At 45.6% G+C, this 26,412-nt stretch overlaps 1 protein-coding gene across 5 annotated transcripts in view; it reads right to left on the minus strand.

Moving 5' to 3' along the window:
* The window catches only part of TENM4 (teneurin transmembrane protein 4), a 788,202-nt gene that overhangs the window by 556,636 nt on the left and 205,154 nt on the right, over positions 1-26,412 (minus strand). For all 5 annotated transcript variants that reach the window (XM_047426739.1, XM_047426737.1, XM_047426736.1 and 2 more), the window contains exon 3: positions 6,344-6,445. In XM_047426739.1, coding sequence (XP_047282695.1) covers positions 6,344-6,353 — 10 coding nt within the window. In that variant the 5' untranslated portion in view covers positions 6,354-6,445. The remainder of the gene's footprint in view (positions 1-6,343; positions 6,446-26,412) is intronic.

Here is a 26,412-nt window from a genome sequence, read left to right on the forward strand (position 1 = left end):
TTTCATCTTAGGTTCACTGCTCCTTCTTCTTCCCTAAGCCTATTCATGTGTTCAGTTAGTCCACCAGGAATAGTAATGAAGCTAACACTGGGTGCTGGAAGACAATGGTGGTATGGGGAGGCCGCGGGCATCCTGAGTGCTCTGAGTAGAGACTGGAGGTGCAATCACAGGGAAGCAGAAGAAGCCTAGGAAGATAGACATGGTCTGGAAAGAAAGAGCTGAAACCGGCATGAGGTTACCAGTGGCCACTGCAGCACTGCTAAGGACCGCTCCAACCTCACCAGTCAGTGCATGGCACCCTGCTAGAACCAGCCTTAGCATTTCTCCCTGTGTGGGGAAAGTATGGTATTTCCAAAGGACAAGACAGGCAGGCCTGGCTTCAAACTCCAGCTTTACCAGGTATCAGCTATATGTCCTTCTCTGCATTGCAGTTTGATTACTGGAAATGGGGACATTTCTATCTCTTAGAGCCAAAAATATATAGGTTTTTATAGTGAAGATAAAACATACAATATGCCTAGCATAGATACCAAGCCATAGTAAGAGTTCAGTAAATGTTTATTTATCCTTACTTAACAGACATAATTGGCACCATATGGGACAATATACTCTTAGCCTCATAAGGTTTGTCTGCTTTACTCAATATTTACATAGGAAGTACGGTGTCCTCTTTAGGATTATTTCTTCAGTCTGACCCTGAGAAAAAATGCACTGTCCTAACTCCTTTGACTTCCCAGTTCTCATCGCCAGCCAGGATGAACAGGGCCTGACCATGTAATAATCTCTGTCACCAGTACCTGTATTTAATAGCAACATGGGGTTCACATCTTAATCGTCATGTCTTCCATGAAAAGCAAGCAACACGAAAGCAGGGATTATGGATTGTCTGCTGTGTGCATGGGAACTGTCATGATAGACTCCAATTGGGTGGACCAAAGGAGCATATTGGTGTCCCTGTTCAATTTTCCAAGAACTGAAAAATATGTCTGGAAAGATACAACAGAAACACATCTTTAAAAGAGCAGCAGTACATAGCAGTAAACACTGAAGGCCAAGCAAACAGTGCCAAGCAAGCGTGGAGTCGTGGGAAAAGCGGTCATGGGCCTTGAAAGAGGCTGATGGGAGTCTGCAGTTTGAATCCCAGCTCTGGCTTTTACTAGCAAGGTAACCTGGGGAGCCCGGAGGGGAGGAAAATCTGCTTATCCATCTGAAAATGGGGAAAACACCGCCAACTGCTGCGATGATGACAGGAAGAATGCCTGGCACATAGTGAGTGCTCATTTTGCTGCTGGTTTCTTTCCTCCTCCTTTTTCTCATTTCCCCCTCTCTTCTAGATAACGGGCATTACTTTATTTGCTAATGAATTAGAATTAGTAGTGGATGACTTTTATCTGCCTATTGGTGACCATAGCCCTCTGTATACATACATTTGTACACCATCAAGAAGTTGCTTATAAAAATACTTTCAATGGCTTCTTACTTTTTAAACAACAATCACAAAAAGCCCCACCTCCTTGGCCTGGCATCCAAACCTTTCCCCGGTAGGCACCGACCCCAACCTGGAACCACACCTGCAACCACTCTTCTGCTTAAATGCTCACCCACCAGGGTTCTGGGTGAGGTGGGGAGTGCAGTTCAGCCTTGGGTTTGGAAAGATGGTAAGAAAGGCAATCTGAAGGCAGTTACACCAACTTGACCTTAAAGCACCAAGAAGATTCTGCTAAACAGACTAAGTTGGGAAAAGCATTCTAGGCCAAGAGAATACCATGTGCAAAGGCCTAAGGTCTCCCTACAGCAGTGAGGCGTCATTCCAGGAGAACTCCTGTCCCCTCTGTACTGAGACTGTTCCCACTTCCCGTCTTCTCTTTACTAGATTCACGGTTGACTTCCTCCTCACTCCCCGCTGGACTCGGGAGTATCTCACCTTTTATACCCACAGTTTTCAAAGTGTGCGCCAGGGATCCCTGAGGGTCCCTAAAACCTTTCAGGAAGTCTGTGAGGTCAAAACTATTTATAACAATGCTACAACATCATTTTCCCTTTTCATTCTGGCTTTCTTATGAACTCACGGTGGAGTTTTCGAGGTTGAATGCAGAAGCAGATACCTCTATATAGCCAAACGTTGAAGGGATTTGCCAAAATGTAAAACAATGCCACTCCATTCATTTCTGTTTCTTTTGGAAAAGTCATTATTCATAAAAATATGTTATTTATGTTAAAGTAAGGGTTTATTATTGTTAATTTAAATAAGTGATAAATGACAATTTTAACATCTTTCAGTATTAATTAATAATATGTCAAATTTTGACAGATATAATCCACATAAATGAAAACCCTTTGGGGTCTTCAATAACGTTGAAGAGTAAAACAGAATGCTGAAATGAGAGAGTTTGAGCACAGGTGCTTTAGGGCATGCTGTGAAGAAGGCAGGAAGGCAGGGGAGGACAAGGTATATTAGTGTTCTTGGGCAGCCTCCTCAGGCAGCAATTTCTGCCCATGACTGGGATCCATTTTGAGTTAATTTTTGTATATGGTGTGAGGAAAGAGTCCAACTTTATGTTTTTGCATGTGGACATTTAGTGCCCCAGCACCGTTTCCTAAACAGACGACTCAGTCTCTCTGTGCCTTGGTAGCCATAACTCTAATGTGAACTTTAAAAGACCACCTTGCAAGGTCTTGTGACATTTAATGAGACAGAGAGAGAAAAACATGATGTGGGTTCCCTGGCATGTAGCAGATGGTCAATGCTTATAACTGAAAAAATGGACCATGGATCTGAAAGTGCTCTGAGGCACGGGCCATCATGATTACCACATGACCAGAGCTGTTCCATCCTTAAAGGTCTTTAGCACCCATTTTCTTGTCACCAAGGCCTGTGCCATCCTCAAGACACTGATTTGCAACCCCTTTCCAGGAACCCCTGTTTCTGAGTGGTCCTGAGAATCTCTTTTTCTTCTCCTCTTCCCTTTTTTGTCCCCTACTTTCTACCCTAAGCTTTTTATTAAATGTTCTTGGACTTAATTGCTTAATTTTAAATTGTTAACCTACTCAAATCCTTTTTGGAAAGGGGGTGGGAAGGCATGACTGAATGAATGAGTCAGTCAGCTAAAAGACCCCTAATTTGAAGACTGAAAAGTGAAGGGCCTGCAGCTACGGTGACTCACAGGGGTCATCCCACTGCAGGTGTGAGAGGTGAGGCCGTGTGAAGCTAACTCCAGGGCTCTCCACAGTCCCCATTTCCTCCTCCTACCCTGGAAACATCCTTTTAAATCACGTCTCCCTCCTCCACAGTGTTTGCAACACCTCCCGATTTAGTTTTCTCTCTGAATTTCATTAGTGTCCCATTTACCTCCTCCCCCTGATCTCCCAGCCGTTAAGCAGGAGGAGGCTAAGTTGGCAACAAGTCTCCGCCTCCTGACCGAGGGAGACGGGAACTCACAGAGGAGGAAAGGGGCCTCTGGGCTGCAATGCCAGATGCTGTTCTGGTCCACTGGGCTCGAGACAACAGACAGTAACTGGGTCCTATCTGTGTGTCAGGCACTGAGGGCTCAATGAGGAGCTATTCTTGCCTCCAGGAAATCCCCAGGCTCATGGGGATGAATGGATAATGTCTGTGCCATGTGGTGAAGGGACCTCACCCTCCTGGGCAGGCAGAGTGAGTGCATGAAAAGTGAGCTAGTGGTGGGAGGAGAAAGGCAGTGGGGACATTCCAGGAGGAAGGAACAGTGTATGTGGAGGCTGGATGGCTTGAATAGTAGCATGTAAGCAAGTCACAATATGGAACCTGTTCAATGATTTGTTCTTATGCTCCCATTTTGAATCTTTACAAAGTGCCTGCCATGTGCCAGGCATCTTTCCTGGCAGAAGAACACTGCAGGGGCCAACAAAGTAGGTCCCTGCCCTTGTGGAGCTTGTGTTCTAATAGAAGAAGACAGAAAATAGGCAATTAAACTTGTCTAGTAATATACACACCAGGTAGAGACAGATGCTATGGAGAAAGGTTTAAGCAGAAGAGGGGCCCAGAAAGAACTGGCCTGGGAGGACTGCTCCATCCTGCTAGACTCAGATTCTTGCAGCCTAGTATTTTTGCAAAACGTCTTTCCTCCTCCAATTTAGATGAGTTTGATGGGACCAACTACGTGGAAGGCCCCCATGTGGGGATGAGCAGCCAAGTCTCTTGGGCTGGGCGTTGGGGAACCAGGGAGAGAAAGCCCCCGGTGAGAGAGGGGTTGAAGAGGAGGAAGAGGAGACCACACTTCAGATTTAGATGGGGTGGAGGTCTAGATTCAATGACTTTTAAATTTTAACTTTCATGTCACTATTACAAGTGAGTATGGTGAGGTTGAAGAGTTCAGCTTTTATCTTACTATGCTGAGTGAGCATTGGTTTTCTTACCTTAAAAAATGGGGTCATAAGAATACCTTATGGGGTTGTGGGAGTCAAATGAGATGCATCATTCAACTACTTGGCACAGTGCCTCAGTAAATGTGACCCCACTTTACCTGTCCTTCTAAAGAAAGCAAAAAATAAATTTTTTTTTTTTTTGAGGTGGAGTCTCTGTCTGTCACCCAGGCTGGAGTGCAGTGGCACAATTTTGGCTCACTGCAACTTCTGCCTCCAGAGTTCAAGTGATTTTCCTGCCTCAGCCTCCCGAGTAGCTGGGACTACAGGTACCTGCCACCACGCCTGGCTAATATTTTTTTTACTTTTAGTAGAGATGGGGTTTTACCATGTTGGTCAGGCTGGTCTCGAACTCCTGACCTCAAGTGATCTACCCGCCTTGGCCTCCCAAAGTGCTGGGATTACAGGCTTGAGCCATCAAGCCTGGCCAAAAAGCAAAAAATATTAATGGAGCTCCTCAGAGAACCTATGTCTCTACTGCACAGCATTGATCTCAGTTTGTAGTTATATACTTGTCAGGGTGAGGGAAAAGCCTACCTTTGTTTTTATTCCTTGTGATATCCCCAGAGCTTAACATAGTGCTGCACTCATGGTAAATCTTCCATATGTCTTTGTCGAATAACTAAATAAATGATTAATCAGAAGTTATGTAAGGTCCAGACTCCAGCACTTTTTATTTGGAAGACCTTTGACAAGACAATTTCTCTAAGCCTCAATTCCTTTCCTATAAAATAGAAATCATATCTACTGTGGCAGGGGAAGTTACTGCTCCTAAAATATCCATGTCTTCCCACACCTCCTGGAATCCCAGAAATCAGGCAGGACCACAGGGCTAGTTCTGGCCAATGGGTGGTGTGTCACTTCAGGACCAACACATTTAAGAGTCAATGTTCAACCTTCCAGTGATTTCCTCCTCTGCTACAGAGACCAAAGGGGCCAATCATCCAGGTCGTACCCCTAAAATATGGGAGAGATTTCATCAGCCTGGTCGCTAAGTCACTAGGTAGAGCAAAGCTTTCTACCAACCTTTGATGGATGCGTAGCATGAGAAAGAAATAAACTTCCGCTATGTTAAGCCACTAGGATTCTGGAGTTAATTTATTACTGCAGCATAACTAAGCCTAAAAAGACTCATATTTCTATCTTGAAAGATTGCTGGAAGGATAAGAAAAAGTGCTTGGTACCTAGTAGGTTCACAGTGGGCTTTCAATAAAGGCCATACTCCCTCTTCCCTGGATCCTTCCTGTGTCCTCAGCCTCCCTCAATGTAACCAGTTTTCACTTACAATTTCACTCCTCTCTGTACCATGTTCCTCCTCTAGCTTGAAACATCTTCCACTTTTCCCATAGAATCCAGGAGTTTCCTGCTGTTTTTTTCATTGCTTTTCTGCACAGCAATATGAGGAAACGCTTCTAGAGAGCCATCTTAGGCACTAGACCTGGCCTCCAGACCACCTGCCTTCTGGACAGCCTTCCACTCACCTCCCCGTATCCTATTCCCCACTGTGCCTCTGATCTCACTCCAGTTCAGCTCAACACATAGCCACCAGACTCTGGGCCCTGCACCCTGGTCTCCTGTACCCAAGAATGACCTTGATTGGCATTGCTGCCTCTCTGGTCCTAGACCGACATGTGACCTCCTTGCTGCCAGCACCCCCATCACATACCTGCTAGATGCCCCATCCTTGCCCACCTTGCCCTCCCACCATGCTGGCTGCCAGCTTGGTTTCCAGCAACCGTTGCCACCTACCAGTCCTACTGCATCTGTTCCCGGAGAAGGCTACCTTTACTCTGGCCAGAACTCCTCTACTTTCTATGCTGCCAAGTCGTAAAAGCCTCCAACCAAAAAACATGCAAATGTTCAGAGTCTGAGATTGCATTTCTCATCAAGGCCACAAATTTGCAGCTAATGACAGAAAATCAGAGCAGACAAGGGGACTGACCTGGCTCCATGTCAGCACGTTCTGAAGAGTCAGCAATGTCCGTGGGCCCTGCAGCCCTCTCTCCAAGGCCATTGGATCCTGGAGGATGGTGCGGGATCTTTTCTGTTGAAGCAGAGAACACAGATCCAACTGAGTGAGGTGGCAAGATGCCCCAATCCTTTCTCACAGACCCTCCGCTCCAGCAGTCATTGCAAACACACACTATGGGAAAATGAGGCTTGTTCCTGGTCCCACAGCAATGAAGAGAAGAAAGTGGGGTCCTGGCACCCTGCAAATCCCACACAGATGGTTCCTCTATGCAGCCTTCCTGAGAGGCTCAAATGTACCTTCTTCTGTTCTCCCATCTCATCTTGTGCTATGGGAGTAATGGTCTTGCCTTAAAATAATTGTTTACACACCTTTCCTTGAGTGAACTGAAGCTTGCAGGACAGGGACTGAAGATCTGCCCTTTATACAACCCAAGCACCCAGCACAGGGCTTGGAGCAAAGTAGGAACTGCGTGTTATTTGCACAAAGGATTGACTGCATACTGTGATGGGAGTAGACAAGGAATGCAACATGGGGCTAAGGTCTAGGGTTAGTGGCCAGTGGCCCCCGTTAACAGTTCTGTCACAGATTCACCAGACAAATAAGTCACTGGCCTTCTCTAAATCTTACTCTCTTGCTGCTATGGTCTGAGTGTGTTCCTCAAAAGTGTTGGAACCTAAATTCCTCAATGTGGTAGTGTTGGGAGGTAGGGATTAATGGAGGTGCCTGGATTGTGATGGCTCTGCCTTGATGAATGGATTAATGCATTCTCATAGCAGTGAGTGAGTTATCTCAATCATGGGTTGTTATAAAGCAAGGCTGGCCCCTCATGCTTGTCTCTTTCACATGTGTTCACTTGCCCTTCCGCCTTTTCCCCTGGGATGAAGCAGCAGGAGGCCTTTACCAGATGCCAGCACCATGCTCTTGGATTTCTCAGCCTCCAGAACTGTGAGCTAAATAAATTTCTTTTCTTTATAAACTACCCAGTCTGAGGCATTCTGTTACAGTAGCAGAAAATGGACTAAGGCACTTGATCTGTGGAATGGGTCGATCTTCCTGTAATATACCACATGGGAGGGTTGGAGTCACCTGGGCAGAGGTCCTTACGCAGAAGAGTCCTGGTTCTGGCCCAGCTGCTGATTGCAACCTCTGGCTAATGACTTCCCCCCTCTAAGCCTCAGTTCCCTCATCTGAAAGAAGGAAATTCTGAACTGGGGGACACGTGAGGTCCTTTCTGGCCCTAGAATCCTATGACTATAAATTTGATTTTCAGGACTCTGGGACAAAGGAGATACCCGTACAAAATAAAGGTTTTTCCAAATGAAGAAAAGAAATTCTACCCTACTCAAAAGAAGGGTAAGGGGGAGGTGCTAAGGTTTTAGGTCATTTGCCTCAGGTCATTCCAAGAGAAGGAATAGGAATTTGAATATAGGCCCTCAAAGACTCAAGGTCCCTGTACTTTTCCTGCCCCATACTGCCACACTCACCCATAAAAAATACTACAAAATGCCTTATTATACAAGAGACCTACTAGGCTAAAGAATAAGGCATGAAGGATACACTTAGGCATAGGAGGTTAACCCCCAAAAAGCCATTATTTGAGAAGTTCCCTGAATTCATTTTTCCCAAATAGATCTAGGATCCTAGCTTAAAAAACATTGCTGTTTATTATAAGGTGAGGAATTGCTGGGAATTCCCATGAAAAACAAAATCCACTTAATAGTAAAATTTTGTTGTCTTCATCTACATTTACTATGTTTCTTTATGGCAAATTATTTTAAATAAAGAGTAACTCTATTAGGCAGGAACATTCAGCAGCCTCTGGCCAAGTACAGAGTATCCTGTTGGTACTCTCCAGAGACTGGCTCTTGAACTACCTTCAGGGTAGAATTTTTTTTTTTTTTGAGATGAGGATTTTGCTCTTGTGGCCCAGGCTGGAGTGCAGTGGCATGATCTCAGCTCACTGCAACCTCCGCCTCCCAGGTTCAAGTGATTCTCCAGCCACAGCCTCCTGAGTAGCTGGGATTACAGGTGCCCACCACCACGGCTGGCTAATTTTTGTATTTAGATGGGGTTTCGCCATGTTGGCCAGGCTGGTCTTGGACTCCTGACTTCAGGTGATCCACCTGCCTCAGCCTCCCAAAGTGCTGGGATTACAGGTGTGAGCCACCATGCCTGGCCAGGGTAGGAAAATTAATGGGCACAAGTAAAGTTAACAAGAGTTTGGGAGTAAACCTAGAAAAATCCTTATAAATCATTATATTCATTAAGATTAAAAATAGGCAGTACACTAATTAGGATATGACTATCATTTTATGCATTTCAAATAGGCAATAATGGCTATTACATCTTTAATTTTTATTACCCTGCCTTGTTCATTAGAAGTTTACCCCCTGCCCACCCACCCCCGACACACACAACCCCACCCCAAGTTCCAAAGACAGCAGGAAATTGGCTGCCTTGGCTACAAAAATGGGCAAGGGAAAAGGTACTTTCTCTGGTGTTGGGGCTCTCCCCAAATGCCAAATGTCTGGTGGCTTTTAGGACACAGAGCTGTTAGCTTTGTCCCCAAGGGTCCTGCTGGGGTCCTAGTCATGTAAGTGATATGTACGTTTTATGCTTGGATGAAACACTCAAATTTCTTTCTCAGGCTCCCTTTTTTGTGTCTGGGTTATAAAACTCCATCATCTCTCCCTTCCCCTCACAGCTTCAGGCCAAAGCTTGTGACTTGGCTTCTCACCTGTGCCTTATGGTCCCTCCCCTCTTGAAGAAGCTGCAGAGCTACAGTTTTTACTCCTCTTCTGCCCTCATCCTTGCCAAGGCTTCAGGGAAAACCTCAACTGTTTGTCTTCAATCTTTCAATCTGTTTATTTCCTTTTCAAATCCCATCCCTAAATTCCCTTTTTTTCCCAGAGTACCTCCAGTAGACAAAACAAAGACAGTTAATGAAACTAAAATGCTCATTTGTTGCTGGAAAGTTTTTAAAAGTATTTATATGCTAGCATTCCGTTGAGGGGAAATTGAGTTAGGAAGGGATTATGGCATTATTCATTCATTCACATATTCACTCATTCATTCATATACTGAGGATTGTTGCTGGATAGAATACAATAATGATTCAGAAGCAAATCCTGCTTTTGGGAAGCTCATAGGCTGGCAAGAAAAACAAGACATAGCCACGGAGAACTATAATGTTTGGCAGTTTTGTAAGAGAGATGCAGACAGAACCTAATGTGTGGACAGAGGATGGAGAGATCGCCATGGCTGACAAATCATGGAAGACTGCCTTGCAGCAGACTTTGTATAAGGTAGGGGACATGGAGACAGGGCAGGTACTCCACATAAGGGAGGAGAGGCATGGGAGGTAAAAGCATGACAAAGAGCAAGTGTCGAGCTCAGCTTTCCAGCATGTGTAAGCTGTGCAGAGGGAAGTGGAGGACATCACACCCAACAAGAGATGTGGGCCTCAACAGGCTGGGGAATGTGGTCATTGTTCAGTGAGTAATAGGGAGCCTCTGAGTGCTGTTGAGCAGAGCAGAGATGTGACATAATTGGAGATCTGCTCTAGGAAGATGAATGTGGCAAGCCTTGCACAATATGAATTGGAAGTGGAGTTGCCTGGGGGCAGGGAGCTCCTAATTGTGTGCCAGGCATTGGGCAGGCTATTAGGTGCTTTGATGTTATTTAGCCTTCTAAATAACTGCAGGAGGCAAGCATTATCCTTCCAGACTTGCAGGTGAAGAAAGGAGACTCTGGGGAATCTAAGCTGCTTGCTCCAAATCCCCTAGTGAGGAAGCAAGGGAGACAAGATCCAAACCCTGTTCTTTTCCTCTCTAGGCAAGTCATAAAGCAAGCTGTAACCCTGTGCATGACACCATGTACCTGACACAACCGTCTTTCTTCTCCCAGTGCATCTCCTGGCTGTCCACCGGTATGTGGAGCTTGATCATTTCCTGGGCTGCCTTTCAGGAAGGCCCAGGTGGAATTAAATGCAGAGTGCCTCTGCTTCTGTTGGATTTCCCCCAAACTGACCACAGATCAAGGAGATAAGATGATGCCTTGAGTTAAGTCAGGTTCCAAAACAACAACACTGACTGCAGAGAACTGCAAAGGTAGCAGGAAACCACCCTCCTCTCTGGCAAGGAGTGTTAGTTTTTGTCTTTCCCTTCTCGGCTAAGCCGTGGTACCCGGAGCAGTGGATACAGAAACCCGGGAGAAAATCTTCTGGATACCCAGGAACCTGCTGGGTCCCTGAAGAATGTCAGTGAGAAACTCAGCGTTCCTGTGCCCTGGGCTGACCCCCTGTTTAGGGAAGGCAGCCCAGAGGGCTCCTAATGCACTCAGAACTGTATCATCGCACCTGCAGCCTGGAGGAGATGACCTTCCATCAAGACGCCTGCTATTAAAACTTTGTTTAAGGAAAATAAAAAGATATCCTCATTCTAAACATGGGACACAGTGATAGGTGTGTTCTGTACTTGACAATCAAGGGTTCCAGTTTGCTGAGGGGAAGCCTGGCACAGTGGCAAGAGGTGGAGCTTTGGAAGCAGAGTGGGGCTGAATCACAACTCACCCAGTCACCAGCTGTGCAGCGTTGGCCAAACCACTTAGCTTTTTACATTTCTTTATTATTAAATAGGAATAAAAATAATGGACTAGAGAGAATAAGTACCTGACCCTTAGTATATACATAATAATGTAGAATAATTTCTTCTAGTCTTAAATGTTCAACATCATGGGCATTGCTTTCTCAGGGAGGTAGCTTTCCTCCTCACAAATTTACCAATTGAAGGAATGAATCTTTAGAGAAAAAATGCTGAAACTACAGCAAGCTATTCCTGTCCTTCAGCTAGCTCTTATGTCCAGTGTCTTATAATTATTCATCTTTACAACTTTCTTTTCCACCAGACTGGGAGCTCCTTGAAGACAGTGACCACTATGTCTTCAATTCTCAGCACATAGTTCTTTCTACCTCAGCTACCTTATTTTGAGATCTGTACAAACTACAGAGTCTGTAGTTCTTCTGGGATTTTTATGCTCCCAGCCTGGTTTGAAGAGTGACTTTAAGCAACACCTTTAGGAGCACATCCAATCTTCTGAAAACCATCTCATTATCACGTAAATTATTAGCACAAAATACTTCACCTTGTTACTCTGCGAAGAGCTTTGGTTTCTAATCCAAGCCGATTATATGTGCCAGCATTTTCAATAACATCTTAATAATGCCAATCCTCCCAGGCCTCTGGACAGAATCAGACCAGGTGGAGAGATCCAGAGTTCAAAGGCATCCTGAAGGGGCATGGCAGCGGGGGAAGAAACGAAGCATCAAAATTGGATTCAAATCCTGGCTGTGCAGTTGGGACAAGCCAGCATAGTGCCTGGGATCAGGATAAATGCTCAGTAAAGGTTAATACCCTTCTCCTGACTCCTGAGAAAAGTAAAGAAATAAAACTTGTTGCAAATAAACAGGGAGAGAAGATCCACCACATTCCTGAGTCCATTTAGAATATGGATTTTTTTTAAGCCTTTCTAAGGACTGGATGAAGCAGGTTATTTCACTTTAATTATGGCAGCTGCAGCTGCTGCTTGTGGACTCAAAGACCAATTTTCACATTAAAAAGGGGGAAAAAAAAACATCCACACCCACACACAAACTCACCGAGAAACTTCACTGCATACACAGAAGAGCATCTCCTTCAGAGAGCACGTCAGTGAGGTGGAAAAATCTGGAATGCCCTGTTCTAGACACTCAGAGCCCAGTGGAAATCCCTGTGCGTGCTCACCCCTGCCTCTCCTCCCACCTTGCCTCCTCTCTGTCCTGAACGTCAAAGAGCAGCTCGTGAGCCACACAGCGTAATGGAATGTTTCTCGGTGAGCAGCTGCATATTTTTAATGCACACAAGGGGAAATAAAGGCAGCAGATGGTTTTATGTAATCTTCCTATGAATTTTGAACTGAGAGTCCTCATTCATGAAGACTTGAAAAGGTTTTGTTGTTTTTTTTCTTTTTTTACACGTCCTCTGTGGGTCAAGCCAACCAGCTCTGGACATGCCCTGGTGAGGCTGTGTGTGTTTGCCTCTGCCAGGGCAGGGAAGCTGAGAGGAGCCTGCTTGCCTTCTTCTGGCCTGGTTTCCACTCCGTGTTCTTTCTTGTGGTTCTTTGTCTGTGAACACACGAGTGGTCCTCAACATTCTCAGTGTTCACAATGGAAAACTCAAGGCAAACTCATGAATCCTTCATAGGCATAGGTGTGCTGTGAAAATCTGAACCTTATGTTCAGTCTTATGTTTGAAATGACTGAGGATCTGTGCTATGGCAGGGACATCTGTCAGCGAGAGGGTCAAGGGGAACAGGTGGGGCAGATGCACCAGTGTAAGAGAAAAGATAACAGTTCCCACTTTTAAGTGAGAGCATGCAGCGTTTGGTTTTCTGTTCCTGTGTTAGTTTGCTGAGGATAATGGCTTCCAGCTCCATCCGTGTTCCTGAAAAGGACATTATCTCGTTCCTTTTTTATGGCTGCATAGTATTCCATGGTGTATATGTACAACATTTTTTTTCATCCAGTCTATCATTGATGGGCATTTGGGTTGGTTCCGTGTCTTTGCTATTGTGAATAGTGCTGCAATAAACATATGTGTGCATGTATCTTTATAATAGAATGATTTATATTCCTTTGGGTATATACTCAGTAATGGGTTTGTTGGGTCAAATGGTGTTTCTTGTTCTAGATCCTTGAAGAATTGCCACACTGTCTTCCACAATGGTTGAACCAAGTTACATTCCCACCAACAATGTAAAAGCATTCCTATTTCTCCACAGCCTTGCCAGAATCTGTTGTTCTTGACATTTTAATAACTGCCGTCTGACTGGTGTGAGATGGTATCTCATTGGGATTTTGATTTGCATTTCTCTAATGATCAGTGATGTTGAGCTTTTTTTATACATTTGCTGGCTGCATAAATGTCTTCTTCTAGAAGTGTCTGTTCATGTCCTTTGCACACTTTTTGATAGGGTTGTTTTTTTCTTGTAAATTTGTTGAAGTTCCTTGTAGGTTCTGGATATTAGGCCTTTGTCAGATGGGTAGATTGGGAGCTGAACAATGAGAACACATGAACGCAGGGAGGGAAACAACATACATTGGGGCCTGTCAGGGGGTTTGGGGAGGGAGAGCATCAGGATAAATAGCTAATGCATGTGGGGATTAATAACTAGGTGATGGGTTGACAGGTGCAGCACACCGCCATGGCACACGTCTACCTGTGTAACAAACCTGCACATCCTGCACATGTATCCCAGAACTTAAATAAAATTAAATATAGAAAAAAAAAATAACAGGCTCTCATCTGAGAAAGATCGTGTGTTTAGAGGATATGCAAGAACTGCCTGTAAAAATGGCCTAACAAGAAGCACTGGCAGGGGAGAAAACTGTTCTCAAATAGCCACAAGTGCTAAAAAGCAGCCTGATGAAGTTTATGCTATCTGTGGAGAATTTTATCAATTTTCTGAAACTTGCTTTTATTTAAGCAATGTCCACCTTTAACCCCTTCAAGCACATCATCAAAAATTCTGGGATTTAAAAGTGCAGGACTAACACTAAGTCTAGTTCTCAACCACTGGAGTTGTCCCAGACCTCTGGGCCTCTGCTCAGAGGTCAGTGCTATTTCTAAAATGCAAACCTGACCCTCCTGTTCCCGGCTCAAAGCCCTTATTGCTCCCCTATTGTCACTGGGGGAGAAGAAATCCAAACTCTCCCCTATAGCAAGCAGTTCTTTTCACTGTCCAGCCTGGCCACCTTTCCAGCCCAGTCCCTGGCCATTCTCACCCCAGACCTTGTATGCTCCAGCTAAACCACAGTGTTTTTAACACCCCACTGTCTTCCATGGCTCTTCCTTTGGCCTCAGATGCCCCTGTAGTGCTTATCCACTAGTTTCCCTGGGCAGCACCCCATCATATTCTGGTGAAGCATCTCCCCTCTCCTGGGAACCCTTTTTCCCACTGCTCCCACCACGTGGGTTGTGACAGTCATAGGTGCTGTGCGTCAATTATTTCTGGCTCTCTACTTTCCAGGTACACTGTGAGAATGTCCACCCTGATAGGGCCATGTCACTAACTGTGGTGTGAGTTGTGAGCAGAAGTGTACCACTTTCAGGTGTTAGATTTAACTGCCAATACAAGACCCTCCAGAGCTCTCTTTCAGCACAGTTGGGATGGCTTGTCAGTCTGGGTCCCTGGGGACTACAATAAGCAGAAACCCCTCTCCTCTCACCATCTCTATTGCCCATAGAAGATGTGGAGTGTAAGACAGGATGAACTCCTTGTTGCTATCAATTCTCTATGATTTAGAGGATGATTTGTACCCAGCATGGACTGACTGATCTGACAGATTCATGGGTCCCATGACGATTGTCATGGTCTTAAACAATCCTGCCTCACTGGCTGTCATTGATTGGTTCAGGGCTGGGCACCTTAACAACGCCGAGTTAGTCATCGTTCCAGACCCGGTTTCTTCCCTTGAGGAGACCAGAACCTGATCAAAGATGAACCAATTAGAATTCTTCCCTGGGATTTCTGAAATCAGTAAGTGAAGGAAGAATGTAGTATCTAGTAGTGCAAATGGTAAGATGCAAAAACTGAGAGCAGTTGGTGGCCATGTGGGTGTTATGGGTTGAATTGTATCCTCAAAAAAGAAAATATGCTGGAGTCCAAACCCCCAGTACTGCAGAGTGGGGCCTTATTTGGAGATAAGGTCTTTATAGAGGCAATCAAGTTAAAATGAGGTCATTAGGGCAGGCCCTAATCTAATATGACTAGTGTCCTTATAAAAAGGGGAAACTTGGCCAGGTGGATGGCTCACGCCTGTAATCCCAACACTTTGGGAGGCCGAGGCAGGTGGATCATCTGAGGTCTGAAGTTGGAGACCAGCCTGGCCAACATGGCAAAACCCTGCCTCTACTGAAAATATAAAAATTAGTCCGGCATGGTGGCGCATGCCTGTAATCTCAGCTACTCGGGAGGCTGAGACAGGAGAATCACTTGAACCTAGAAGGCAGAGGATGCAGTGAGCAAAGATTGTGCCATTGCACTCCAGCCTGGGCAACAAGAGCCAGACTCTGTCTAAAAAAAAAAGGGGGAGGGGGGAAATTAGGACACAGAGACAGATATACACACAGGGAAGATGCCAGGTGAAGATGGGATTCACGCTGTCCCAAGCCAAAGAAACAGCAGAAAGAAAAGTCCAGGACAGATTCTTCCCTGGCACCTTCAGAGGAGCACGGTCCTGCTGACACCTTGATCTCACACTTTAAGCTTCCAGAACTATGAGACAATACGTTTCCAGTGTTTAAGCCACTCAGTTTGTAGCACTTTGTTCCGTCAGCCCTAGGAAATCCACAGAGTGAGGAAAGCACGTCTGCAGTGAGAGAAGGAAGCTTACACGCCTAAGAAAAGCAGACTGGAGCAGCAGAAAGGGTCAGAAAAAATCTAAACAGAATTAGAGTTCCAATTACAATTCTCCTGCATCTCTGCCTTTTCTCTGGCTGGAGGGTTCATCTGCTTCTTGGATTCTTGAGATGGTATTATGTCCTCCTGCTTTTTTTTGAGACTGGGTCTCCCATGACTCCCAGACTAGAGTGTGGTGCCATGATCTTAGCTCACTGCATGCAGCCTCTGCCTCCTGAGGCTCAAGCAAGTCTCCCACCTCAGCCTCCTGAGTAGCTGATGTGTACCACCATGCTGGCTACTTTTTTTGTAATTTTAGTAGACATGAGGTCTCTACTAAAGACCAGAGGCATACACCACCATGCTGGCTATTTTTTTGTAGTTTTAGTAGAGATGAGGTCTTGCCACATTGCCCAGACTGGTCTCGAACTCCTGAGCTCAAGCAATCCACCTGTCTCGGCCTCCCTCCCAAAGTGCTAGGATTACAGGCGTGAGCCACCGTGCTCAGTCCTTTCTGTTTTGAGTATGATGGTTTGGAGGGATGATGGTTCTGTGACTTCAAGCCAAGAATCCTAATGAACATTTTTATAATATTTAATAATGATCACGATCATCACCTTAAAGTTACGAAAATGAGTAATATGAATGGATCCATGTACTGGTGAATGGACTAGACCGGTAGCTGATGGACAAACAGGCCCACTGCTTCTAAATGCTGTCCAAACATGTCCCCAGAAGACAGAGACAAGATCCCTCCTGTCTGGCTGCAATAGCCTTCATACATTCACACAGTTTGATCCTCCTGGTGTTTTCTTTAATCTAGTAACAGTCAGAATAAAACCTGAAAAGGATTTTCTTCTGCACAGTTATGCCTTTCTTCCCAATCCAAACACAACTGCATGCCTGGCCCCTTGAAATGCTCCAAAACAAAACAAGAAAGCCCAGCCAAATCCCTCATCGTGTTTTATGTTATTTTCTTGGCTGTACAAACTTAGGAACCCTTTGTTTCTTCTGCTCCGTCCTTGGACTTTTCCTTCCCACATTCACCTCTGTCCAGAGCTGCTATATCAGCAGCAAGGGCTCCCAGCTAGCAGAGGGGGAGAGGGGTACTCTGAGGGAACGCAAGCTGGAACTGATTAACCATCTCAGACTTCAGCTGAAGGCCCCCTGAAGCAATTTACCAGCCTCCTGGAATAACCATTGAACACAGGCCCTCACGGGAAGAATGTGGCTGGATAACAGGGTATGGCTTATAGGTTTGGTCTTGCAGAGCAGAAGATCATTGTTCAAGGTACATTTGAGCCTCTGGGACAGCCACCATAGTATGAATGAACAGAATCATTATACCTTGATGATCTGTAAAAGGCAAGATCCTAGCTCTTCTCTGAAGGACTAGGGACAGCAATGATACTCCTGAGCAAGATTTGATGACTACAGTGTTGTAGACTTTACCGCCCCCTCCCCAAAGTAAAACAGGCTCTTGATTTTTCCTCATTTATTCTATTCAGGAGACCTTATAAAACATGATGGTTTTTATCAAGCTGCCAGCTGGCTGATCAGAGAAATTAGAAAAGAGCAAGAGTTTTCTAGAACAGGTGGGGGCCAACTCAGCTTTGAACAAAAGCGGGTGGGTGGGAGTGCGCAGGCTGAATGGACGCTTTGCCAGACACTTGTCTATTTGCTCCCAGATCCACTCCCCACACTGGCCTGCTCTGCTGTGCTCTGCAGGGAGCTACATTTCTCAGGTTCCCTTGCTGACTGGCTTCCGGGTAGGTTGGGCTAAAGAAAGTCCCTGACAGAAGATTGGAGATGAGCAGACAGCAGCCAGGGTATCTTCACCTCTTACTTTGTCTTCGACAACATCCCTGGCAGTGGCCACATAACCCCCGTGGCTTCAGGTCCTGACAGTCACCCTACAAAATGATTCTAGCTCCTGCTGGATTATCCCAGCTTCTGGGATCTGGAACTATCACCTCCTCTTATTGTCCCTCCAGCCTTGGTTGCTGTCATTGGTTGCTGTCATTGGTGATTTCTGGGCTGAAATACGTACTGTTTAGCTTCTTAGCTGTTTTGTCAACTGTTTGACCAGTTCTTTACATTAAATTCTCTCAATGGAAAGGTCGAGAGGGGTTTCTTTTTTCCTGCCTAAACTCTGACTGATAAACGTGCTGAGAAAGACTCTGCAGGCAGGAGCGTCACTCTGTAGCCTCCAGGACAGTGAATATGCAAAGACTCTCAGTGCTTGGGCTGGGATAAAGAGCCCCTTACAGCACTGACTGCTGCACTGAAGCCCAAGAGGGAAGAGTGATAGGTGGGGCCACTGTGAGACTGGGGAGGCAGCCCTAGAAGGAGAAATGGGGGACACAAAAGCAGGTTTTTGCTTCTTTCCCCCGTAGGTCCAGTCAGCTTGCATGGGACTTTTTTTGCTGTTGGTTGATAAACTAATGTGGGAGAGGCCATCAGTAAGTCAGTGAATGCCAAGGATCCTGGCTGTGACACTTCAGAAAGCTTGGTCAGGTTAGGGTGTTTGAGGCACTGCAGGAAAGCTGGAGTCTAATGAAACTGAGGCAGACCAAGAAAGACACCTGTCAGTAGATTGGTGAAACACTGACATCTTAATGGGATGTGACTTTCTTTAGTCATGTCTGTGTAGCTACCTGCAACTGTAGAGGGTAGCATTGTCCTTCTAAACCCAGTGGGTGGGGAAAGTCATTCTTTATTGAGAGAAGAAGGGGTCAGGAATACAATGAGAAGACATTTTAGTGACTGCTGAGAGACAGGGCATCCTTTGTCAGTGAGAAAGAATTTGGATGTGAAAAAAAGTATCTATAAACAGACCGACACAGGCCGGGACTGAGAAAGAGACAAGGGCAAAATAAAGCCCACTAGAAATGAAGGGACAAAGACTTGCAAGCTCTCCATGGAGCAGGCCCCTCGGGTGGTGGGCCAGCTTCCCAGCAGAGGTCAGCTTCCCACTGTCAGAACAGGGGACTCTGGAATCCCAGAGCCAGGACACATTTGCTTTTTGCTTCTGCTCAGGCCCTTGTCACAGGTGGCCTTTTATTGACTGACCCAAGTGTCCCAGACCAATGTCGCCCACAGGAACTGAAAGGACCACCAGGTGCAGAACAGCAGGGCTGTTAATGAACTGCCGCATGCCTCACCTCCCGGGAAACCTCTCTTGGTTCCAGGGAGGAAACCAATGCCGAGACTCCAGTGCAGACTTGCTTGCCACCTCGCCATCCCCACCCACCTTCTCAGACCTCACGTGCCCACCCACGCAGACACACGTGCTTATTTCTACCTTGGTGAAGCTGAACGCATTTGTCAGGGGAGAAGCCAAGTTGGAAAACAAAGAGTCCTTTCTGGAGACGAAAAAAAAAACAAGAAAATTTGGAGGTTACATATGTTCCCCCACTTCATTTTTTTCTAATTTTAAAAAAGTCTCCTGTTTTTTAATAAAAATTTTAAACCAGTTAGAGATTATAGAAAAATTGCCACGATAGCACAGACCTGCTATACCTAACACCTAGTTTTCCCCATATTAACACCTTTCATCAGTATGGTTCATTTGTTATAATGAATGAACCAATATTGAAACATTATTATTAAATGAAGTCCATGATTTATTCAGATTTCTTTCGTTTTTCCCTAATGTCTTCTGCTCTGGAATCCCATGCAGGACACATTACATTTAGTCATCATGTGTCCTCAGGCTCCTCTTGGCTATGACAATTTTTTAGATGTTCTTTGTTTTTGATGGCCTTGACTGTTAGTGTGAGTATTGGAAAGGTTTTTGTAGGATGCCCCACTATTGGAATTTGTCTAATGTTCTTCTCATGATAAGACTGGGGTTGTGAACTATTGGGATGAACTGTCCCTTATGTTTTTAACCATTTTTTGGTTGCAAAAGCCATGACTGTACTCCTACTGGGCCCCTGGCCAAAAGCTCAGGGAGCAGCCTTGGTAGACAGGTTCTGCCATCCTGGCAGCATCTACGCAGTCTCTGCTAGCTTCCACCTTCAGAAGACCAAAAAGCCCTCATAGTCTATCCACAACCTACTTCTCCAGCATCAAGTCCTGAATTTTCTTTCTATCTTCCACACCAGATTTGCTTGCAGTTTTCCAAACATGCCCATATCCTTTCATAGTTTCATGTCTATACTTTTGCTGTTTCTTCTGCCAAAAATGCCATTCTTCCCCTTGGCTAACTTAAAACTCCCCTCAGAAGTCAGAGCCTAGCACAAAATCCTCCTCTTGGGAGCCTTCTTTGATCCACCACTCCAAATGTAATTGAACCCTGTCTTCTCTGTGCCAACACTGCACATTCCTGTCCATTCTTAACCACCCTGCTTACCACCCTAGCACCCTTCAGCATTGGACATTGTATGTTCATTAACTTGTTTATTGTTTGTCTCCTCTGCCAGAATAGAAGCCTCATGACATTGGTCTGTTTTGTTTATTGCTACATTGAAAGGACAGTGCTTGACACACAGCAGGCACTCAATTATTAATATTTGCTGAATGAATGAGTGATACTGCTGGAGCATTTCCTACACTTTTTTTTTTAACAGACAAAGTACTTGCTCTTTAATCCAGGCTGGAGTGTAGTGGTGTGATCACAGCTCACTGCAGCCTGGAACTCCTGGGCTCAAGTGATCCTCCTGCCTTAGCCTCCCAAGTTGCTGCAACTACAGCTGCATATCACCATGTTTGGCTAACTTTTTTTTTTTTTTTTTTTGTAGTAGAGACTGCGTCTTGCTATGTTTCCCAGGCTGGTTCTACATCCTTTACAGTTATTTGGGCATGTATCTGTTTCTTCAGGTAGACTATGAACTTCTCGAGGAAGGACCAGATATAGATCCTGTTTAATGAAGGAAGGCTTGACAAAGAAGCTGGCATTTTAGCCACACCTTGAAGACCATTTCAGGACACGCTGGTCATCCTTAGCCACTGTTCCTTCTTTCAGGACATCACCCCACACTCTCTGGAGGAGTATCTCCATGTGGCTGGAAGAGACATACGGTGTATTATGCAAGGTCTTCTCCAGAAGTTTAGAATCTAAGAGCTTCGAAGCAGTGGCAAGGCCCCTGTCTTTCTAGACTAGACTTCCGATCTTGAACACTGCCCCTGCTCTATTATTGGGTGGTCAGGGCCATCTCCAAGAACCGTCCCCAATAACTAATTTGATAAGGCAGAAACAGCAGCAGCTCTGAAACCCAAGGAGTGGGGTCCAGCCTCTGCCTGTGGCTAGCTTGGGAACCATGGACAACCTCTCTGAGCCTTAGTTCCTTCACCCGATAATGGAAATAACATTAATACTTACAATGCTATTAGAGGCTTACTGTGAGGACCTACTGAAAAACAAATAGCAAATCACTTTATAAAAGTCAAGTGTGATCTAAGGCATTTTTTACTGTCATCAGCAGCAAGTATCCCAGGCCTCATGTTTTCTGAGCCCTGTGACATTTGGCCAATGACAATGGAGACAGGCAGTGGGCAGGGAGATGAGAGCTACCAGGTAGAGTTTTAAAGGCAAGTTACTGGGCCTTTGGACTAAGATCAAAATCAAGTGTGTAATACACACATATAAGCCAACCACATGTTTATGGTACAATAGCTTTGTCTTCTGGCTGCCTAACAAGAGCCCTTAGGCTGAGGGCTGCACATCCACCTTGGATGTTTCTGTCAGCCCACCGGACTCACTGGGGTTGGGGAAAAGGTATGTGTTACCTGGGGAAACCCACTTCCAACCTTGGCTGGGGATTCTGCATGCTGATTCTATAACTTAACAAAAATGAAAGTTAATTTTATTTTATAATTCTGCATAACATAAAAGAAAGAAAATAAAGTAAAAGGGACATGGAACTGGCAAAATATTTGTAGCATGGAAGATAGAAGAGGGTTAATATTCATTTGATAAATATTTGGTGCAAATTGATGAGGGAAAAAAATTCAGGACCACAGCAAATAAATTGCAAACAGACATGGCTGGGTTATTCAAGAAATATGTTAAGTGAATGCACACATGGAAATAATGTTCAGTTTCTCTAGTAATCAAAGAAATACAAATTAGAGCAAAAATAAAATACCATTACACCTAAATTAGTAATTTTTTTTTTTTTAATTTAAAGGGCTGAGATGATGGGGAAAGGTCAGTGTGCATTGAAGGCAGTCATTGAAGAGTATTTACTTATCACCTATCATGTACCAGCCATGACTTCAGGCATTCTGGATAAAATAATCAGACATGATCCTTAGCATCAGGGGGCTTACATCCAGGGCATCTACTTTCTGGCTGCGTGACCTCAGCCAAGTTATTCAACATCTCTGCGCTTCTGATGTCCTTATCTGTCAAATACAGATCATGATACCCACCCTCAGAGCAGTTGTGGCAATTTGTGACAATTATAAATCTTCTTCACCTGCTTACTCATTTGATTCACCCAGCTCTGAAGCCTAAGTTAGGCAGGGAACATTAGTCCTGAGTGCAACTGAATGTGAAAATGAATACTCCAAGAGGGGGCCAGGCGTGATGGCTCATGCCTCATAATCCCAGCACTTTGGGAGGCTGAGGCAGGGAGATCACTTGAGGTCAGGAGTTCAAGACCAGCCTGGCCAACATGGTGAAACCCCGTCTCTACTAAAAATAGAAAAATTAGCCAGGCGTGGTAGCACATGCTTTTAATTCCAGCTACTTGGGAAGCTGAGGCAGGAGAATTGCTTGAACCCAGGAGGTGGAGATTGCAGTGAGACAAGATCATACCACTGCACTCCAGTCTGAGGGACAGGGTGAGACTGTCTGGAAAAGAAAAAAGAAAAAGCAAACAAAACAAAACAAAACAAACAAAAAAATAAATAAAACCCCACTACTCCAAGAGGGGAAGTTACTGGTCCAAGGTCATAGAGCCAAGGGTTCCAACCCAGTTCTTCAGGGTTCTGGGTCATGCTTTCTGTGGAGTCAGTAATGTGTAAGGGGCCCTGAAGTGAAGCTGGTGAGGACTGTTTCAGATAGTACAGAGGCTAGCAGGACGCATGAAGAAAGGGCAGGTTAAGGCCAAGAGAGCATGCTGGGGCAGAGTCTTCAGGCGCAGAAACCCTGCACGGGCAGCCCCAGCCTGTGCCCCTCCTTTTCCTTACTTCTGAACCCAACATGCACTGACCCCATCTGCATTCAGCAGTGACTGCGAGTGAGTTTTCCATTTCTTTGACAGATGATTAGAAAAGCAGGAGGTGGCAGCTGGCCCATTTATTATCTGCTCCTACCAGGCACTCCAGGATGATGGGCAGATGTGGTGAGGCAGGAGCTGCTGAGTGCATCCCAAAACAATTCGCCATCCACACACTCAACAGGCACCAGTCCAGTGAATTGTGCTAATATTCAAGACACATTGTGTCCAGAACACAGGGAGAATATAAAGGAATTTCTCCAAGGGTGATTCCGAACTCTTGTGGGTGAGCAGTGTCTGGGAGAATAAAATTGCTGTTTGGATAGATCCTCAGTCAGCCAGAAAAGGAGGTGAATCAGTGATCTGGTTGGAGGTTGGAACCTGGGCAAAAGCTCACCAGGACACCCAAGTGAGGTCAGGAGAGTGGAGTGGTTTAGAGCTCCCTGCCCATGGCACTCCCTTGGTTAAAACTGTCCGGGGTGTACCATTGCCAACAGGTGAAATTCCAGATTCACAGCACAAAGCACTTCATGGTTTGGTCTCTGCCTTGCCAGGAACCACCCTTCCCTCTAGGCTTGTTGGGCATTTTTAGCTCCCCACATGGGCAATGCAGGGTCAAGCCTTTGTATATGCACAGTTGCCCTGACCCCATGCCAGCCCCTCTAGAAGCCTCCGCTGAGGCTGCCAGACTGAGTCAGACGCCATGCCTTGGGTTTCCCTTCCCAAACAATGTTATTTACTAACATATCTCTCTCCACCACTACAGACTGGTCTATTTCTTATCTAGCTCTGCATCCCAAGTCTAGCATGAACTCTGACACATAGCAAATATGCATATATTCAGTAAACATGTATTGGACAGATGGAAGGTTGGGTGGCTGGTTGGATGGTTAAAGTACATGTTTGACAAAGCTCATCTATAATTATACAGAAGATGGGGGCAGAAAGGGAGCTATGAAGACCAGGGAGGAGGCTGCTGCAAAGGTCTAGATTGTGGAAGAGGCAGGGGGACGGGAAGGAGGAGGGGACTTGAGTGAGGATGGTAGATGAACTTAATAAAACCTGGTAAGTGATGGCACAGAAAGGGTGAGAGAGCTGTGCCTGAGGCTGACCCCTGGTTTCCAGATGGAGCAGAATGTGAGGCACTTAGGCAAGACAGGGAGACACGGACCCAGGTGTTAGTACTTCATATTGGTGGGGCAAGGCGGGGGGCTGTGAATGGGGAGAGGAGATCGCCAGTTGGGGTAGAAGCAGGCCTGTGGGCCAGTAGAGCCCTGGTATGTATTCCTACCCCACCTCCAGGTGGCCCTTTGTGAACTTTCAGTGGGCAAACCTTGGTTAAGATGGCTCAGAAATAGAGTTTACATGATTCCAGCAAATAGAAGGCTCTTCTGGCTTAGCCATGGTCTGGATCCTTCCAATGAGCGAAAAGGAAGAGGCCCTTTCAATAGGTTGTACTGAAGGGTGACATCCCTGAACTCACCTCCCACATGGCTGTGTGAGGGGAAGCATGCAGTTACCTCTGCAGTGTGATGGATCCCAACGGAGGTTGTTCAATGTAGTGCAAAGAGCACAGAGTTTGGACTCAGGCAGACCTGGGTTCAAATATGGCGTTTGCTACTCAACAGCCAAGTAGACTTGGGCAAGTCCCTTCATTTCTCTGAGACTTGTTTCCCTATCTGTAAAAGCAATAAAACCCACTTTGTACTGTAAATGTTAATTGAAATAAGCTTGCATATGCCTGGCACTTTCTTCCCTTTGACCTTCTTTTCCTCTGAATGCTTCATTCATCATTTGAACAATGGGGAGAAAATTGCTATAAAGAAGCCTGTCAAGTACTTATTGGGTATTTGATATGTGCTGGGCACCCTGAAAGCTATAGAAAAAGCGAAGGGAAGGTTTGGCCCTCTATGGACCTGAAATGATGAATGATATTGGCATGCATTCCCTGTATAGGCATGTGCATCTTATGTCAGTTCTTACTGGCTAAGAGGCCTCGGGCAATTCACTGCATGGGGCTGAGCTCAATTTCTCCATTAGCTCACAAAGGCCTGTTAACCTCTGTACCAAGGGCTGCCCTCAGGCTGGGATGAGATCACTTATGGGAAAGCATGGTGGGTGGAGGGTGAGGGCAAGGAAATGCTCAGGGAAGGTCCCATGTGCTCCCTTCTTCCACCTCTGCAGAGTGGCTTTCCTGGGAGTTCTCAGAGGCTCCTTTCTGCTTTCTCATTTAAACACTTAATGGGTCTCATCCTTTTAAGTGACACCTGCTGGAACTGTAATTGTGCACATAATTGCTACGTGGGAATGGAGGTGGGTTTATTTCCCAGCGCTAGTGCTTCCCTTAGGAAAAGAAACAGTGTACCCATGAATACGTTGCCTGTGTCCTTGGAGTGGGGCCCGCAGTGAGCCTTTTCCCTGGATGCGGGGCACCTGGCTTGCGGGGTCTGGCAAGGTAAGAAGAAAATATCTACTGAAGCATTGAACTTTCCAGAAACCAAATATCTGGCATTGGGCTCAGTGAAGCCACAGGGCCTTGTTAAAATACCAAGAGGGAAGACTAAAAATCCCATCAGAAGTCTCCCTGACTGGCCAGGCGCGGTGACTCATGCCTGCAATCCCAGCACTTTGGGAGGCTGAGGCGGGTGGATCATGAGGTCAGGAGATAGAGACCATCCTGGCTAACACGGTGAAACCCCGTCTCTACTAAAAATACAAAAAATTAGCCAGGCGTGGTGGTGTGTGCCTGTAATCCCAGCTACTCGGGAGGCTGAGGCAGGAGAATCGCTTGAACCTGGGAGGCAGAGGTTGCAGTGAGCCAAGATATCGCGCCACTGCACTCCAGCCTGGGTGACAAGGTGAGACTCCGTCTCCAAAAAAAAATGAAGTCTCCCTGACAAGCATTCCAGTCAAATTCTGAGAGACAGGGTGGCCCCCCTGTAGAGTACAAAGTGAGAGATGCAGGGTTGAGACCTGGGACGGATGAAGCTCCTGCTGCTCTCTTCCCTAGTCATGCGGCCTGACACAGGGGAGGTGCTCAAGATAGGGACCCTAGGACCTCTGTAATAACACTAATGATAATCGTTAGCATTGTTGGCAAGACTGTTGTTAATGATTGATCAAATGGAACTCAAGACAGGAAGGTTTGGGAAGGCAGAGAAATGGGAACTAAAAGCTGGACCAGGGGACAAGAAAACAGGCCTTAGTGTCAGCCTCCACATAGCTATAAATACATCAACGTATGACTATAAATAGTTATACAAGTGCATAAATGTATTTTGAGCTCTTCAGGTTCAAAAACTGATCACTGGTCTGTGGCTCTATGGAAACGACTCTTTTCCTCATAATGAACACTCCCTTCTCCAGGCCCCCTTGCCCTCCTTTCTTTGAGCTTTCCTAGATTTATCTGAACTCTGGTAAGAATGAGGACTTTTT

The sequence above is a fragment of the Homo sapiens genome, chromosome 11 (genome assembly GCF_000001405.40).
Source record: "Homo sapiens chromosome 11, GRCh38.p14 Primary Assembly".
NCBI classification, from domain to species: domain Eukaryota; kingdom Metazoa; phylum Chordata; class Mammalia; order Primates; family Hominidae; genus Homo; species Homo sapiens.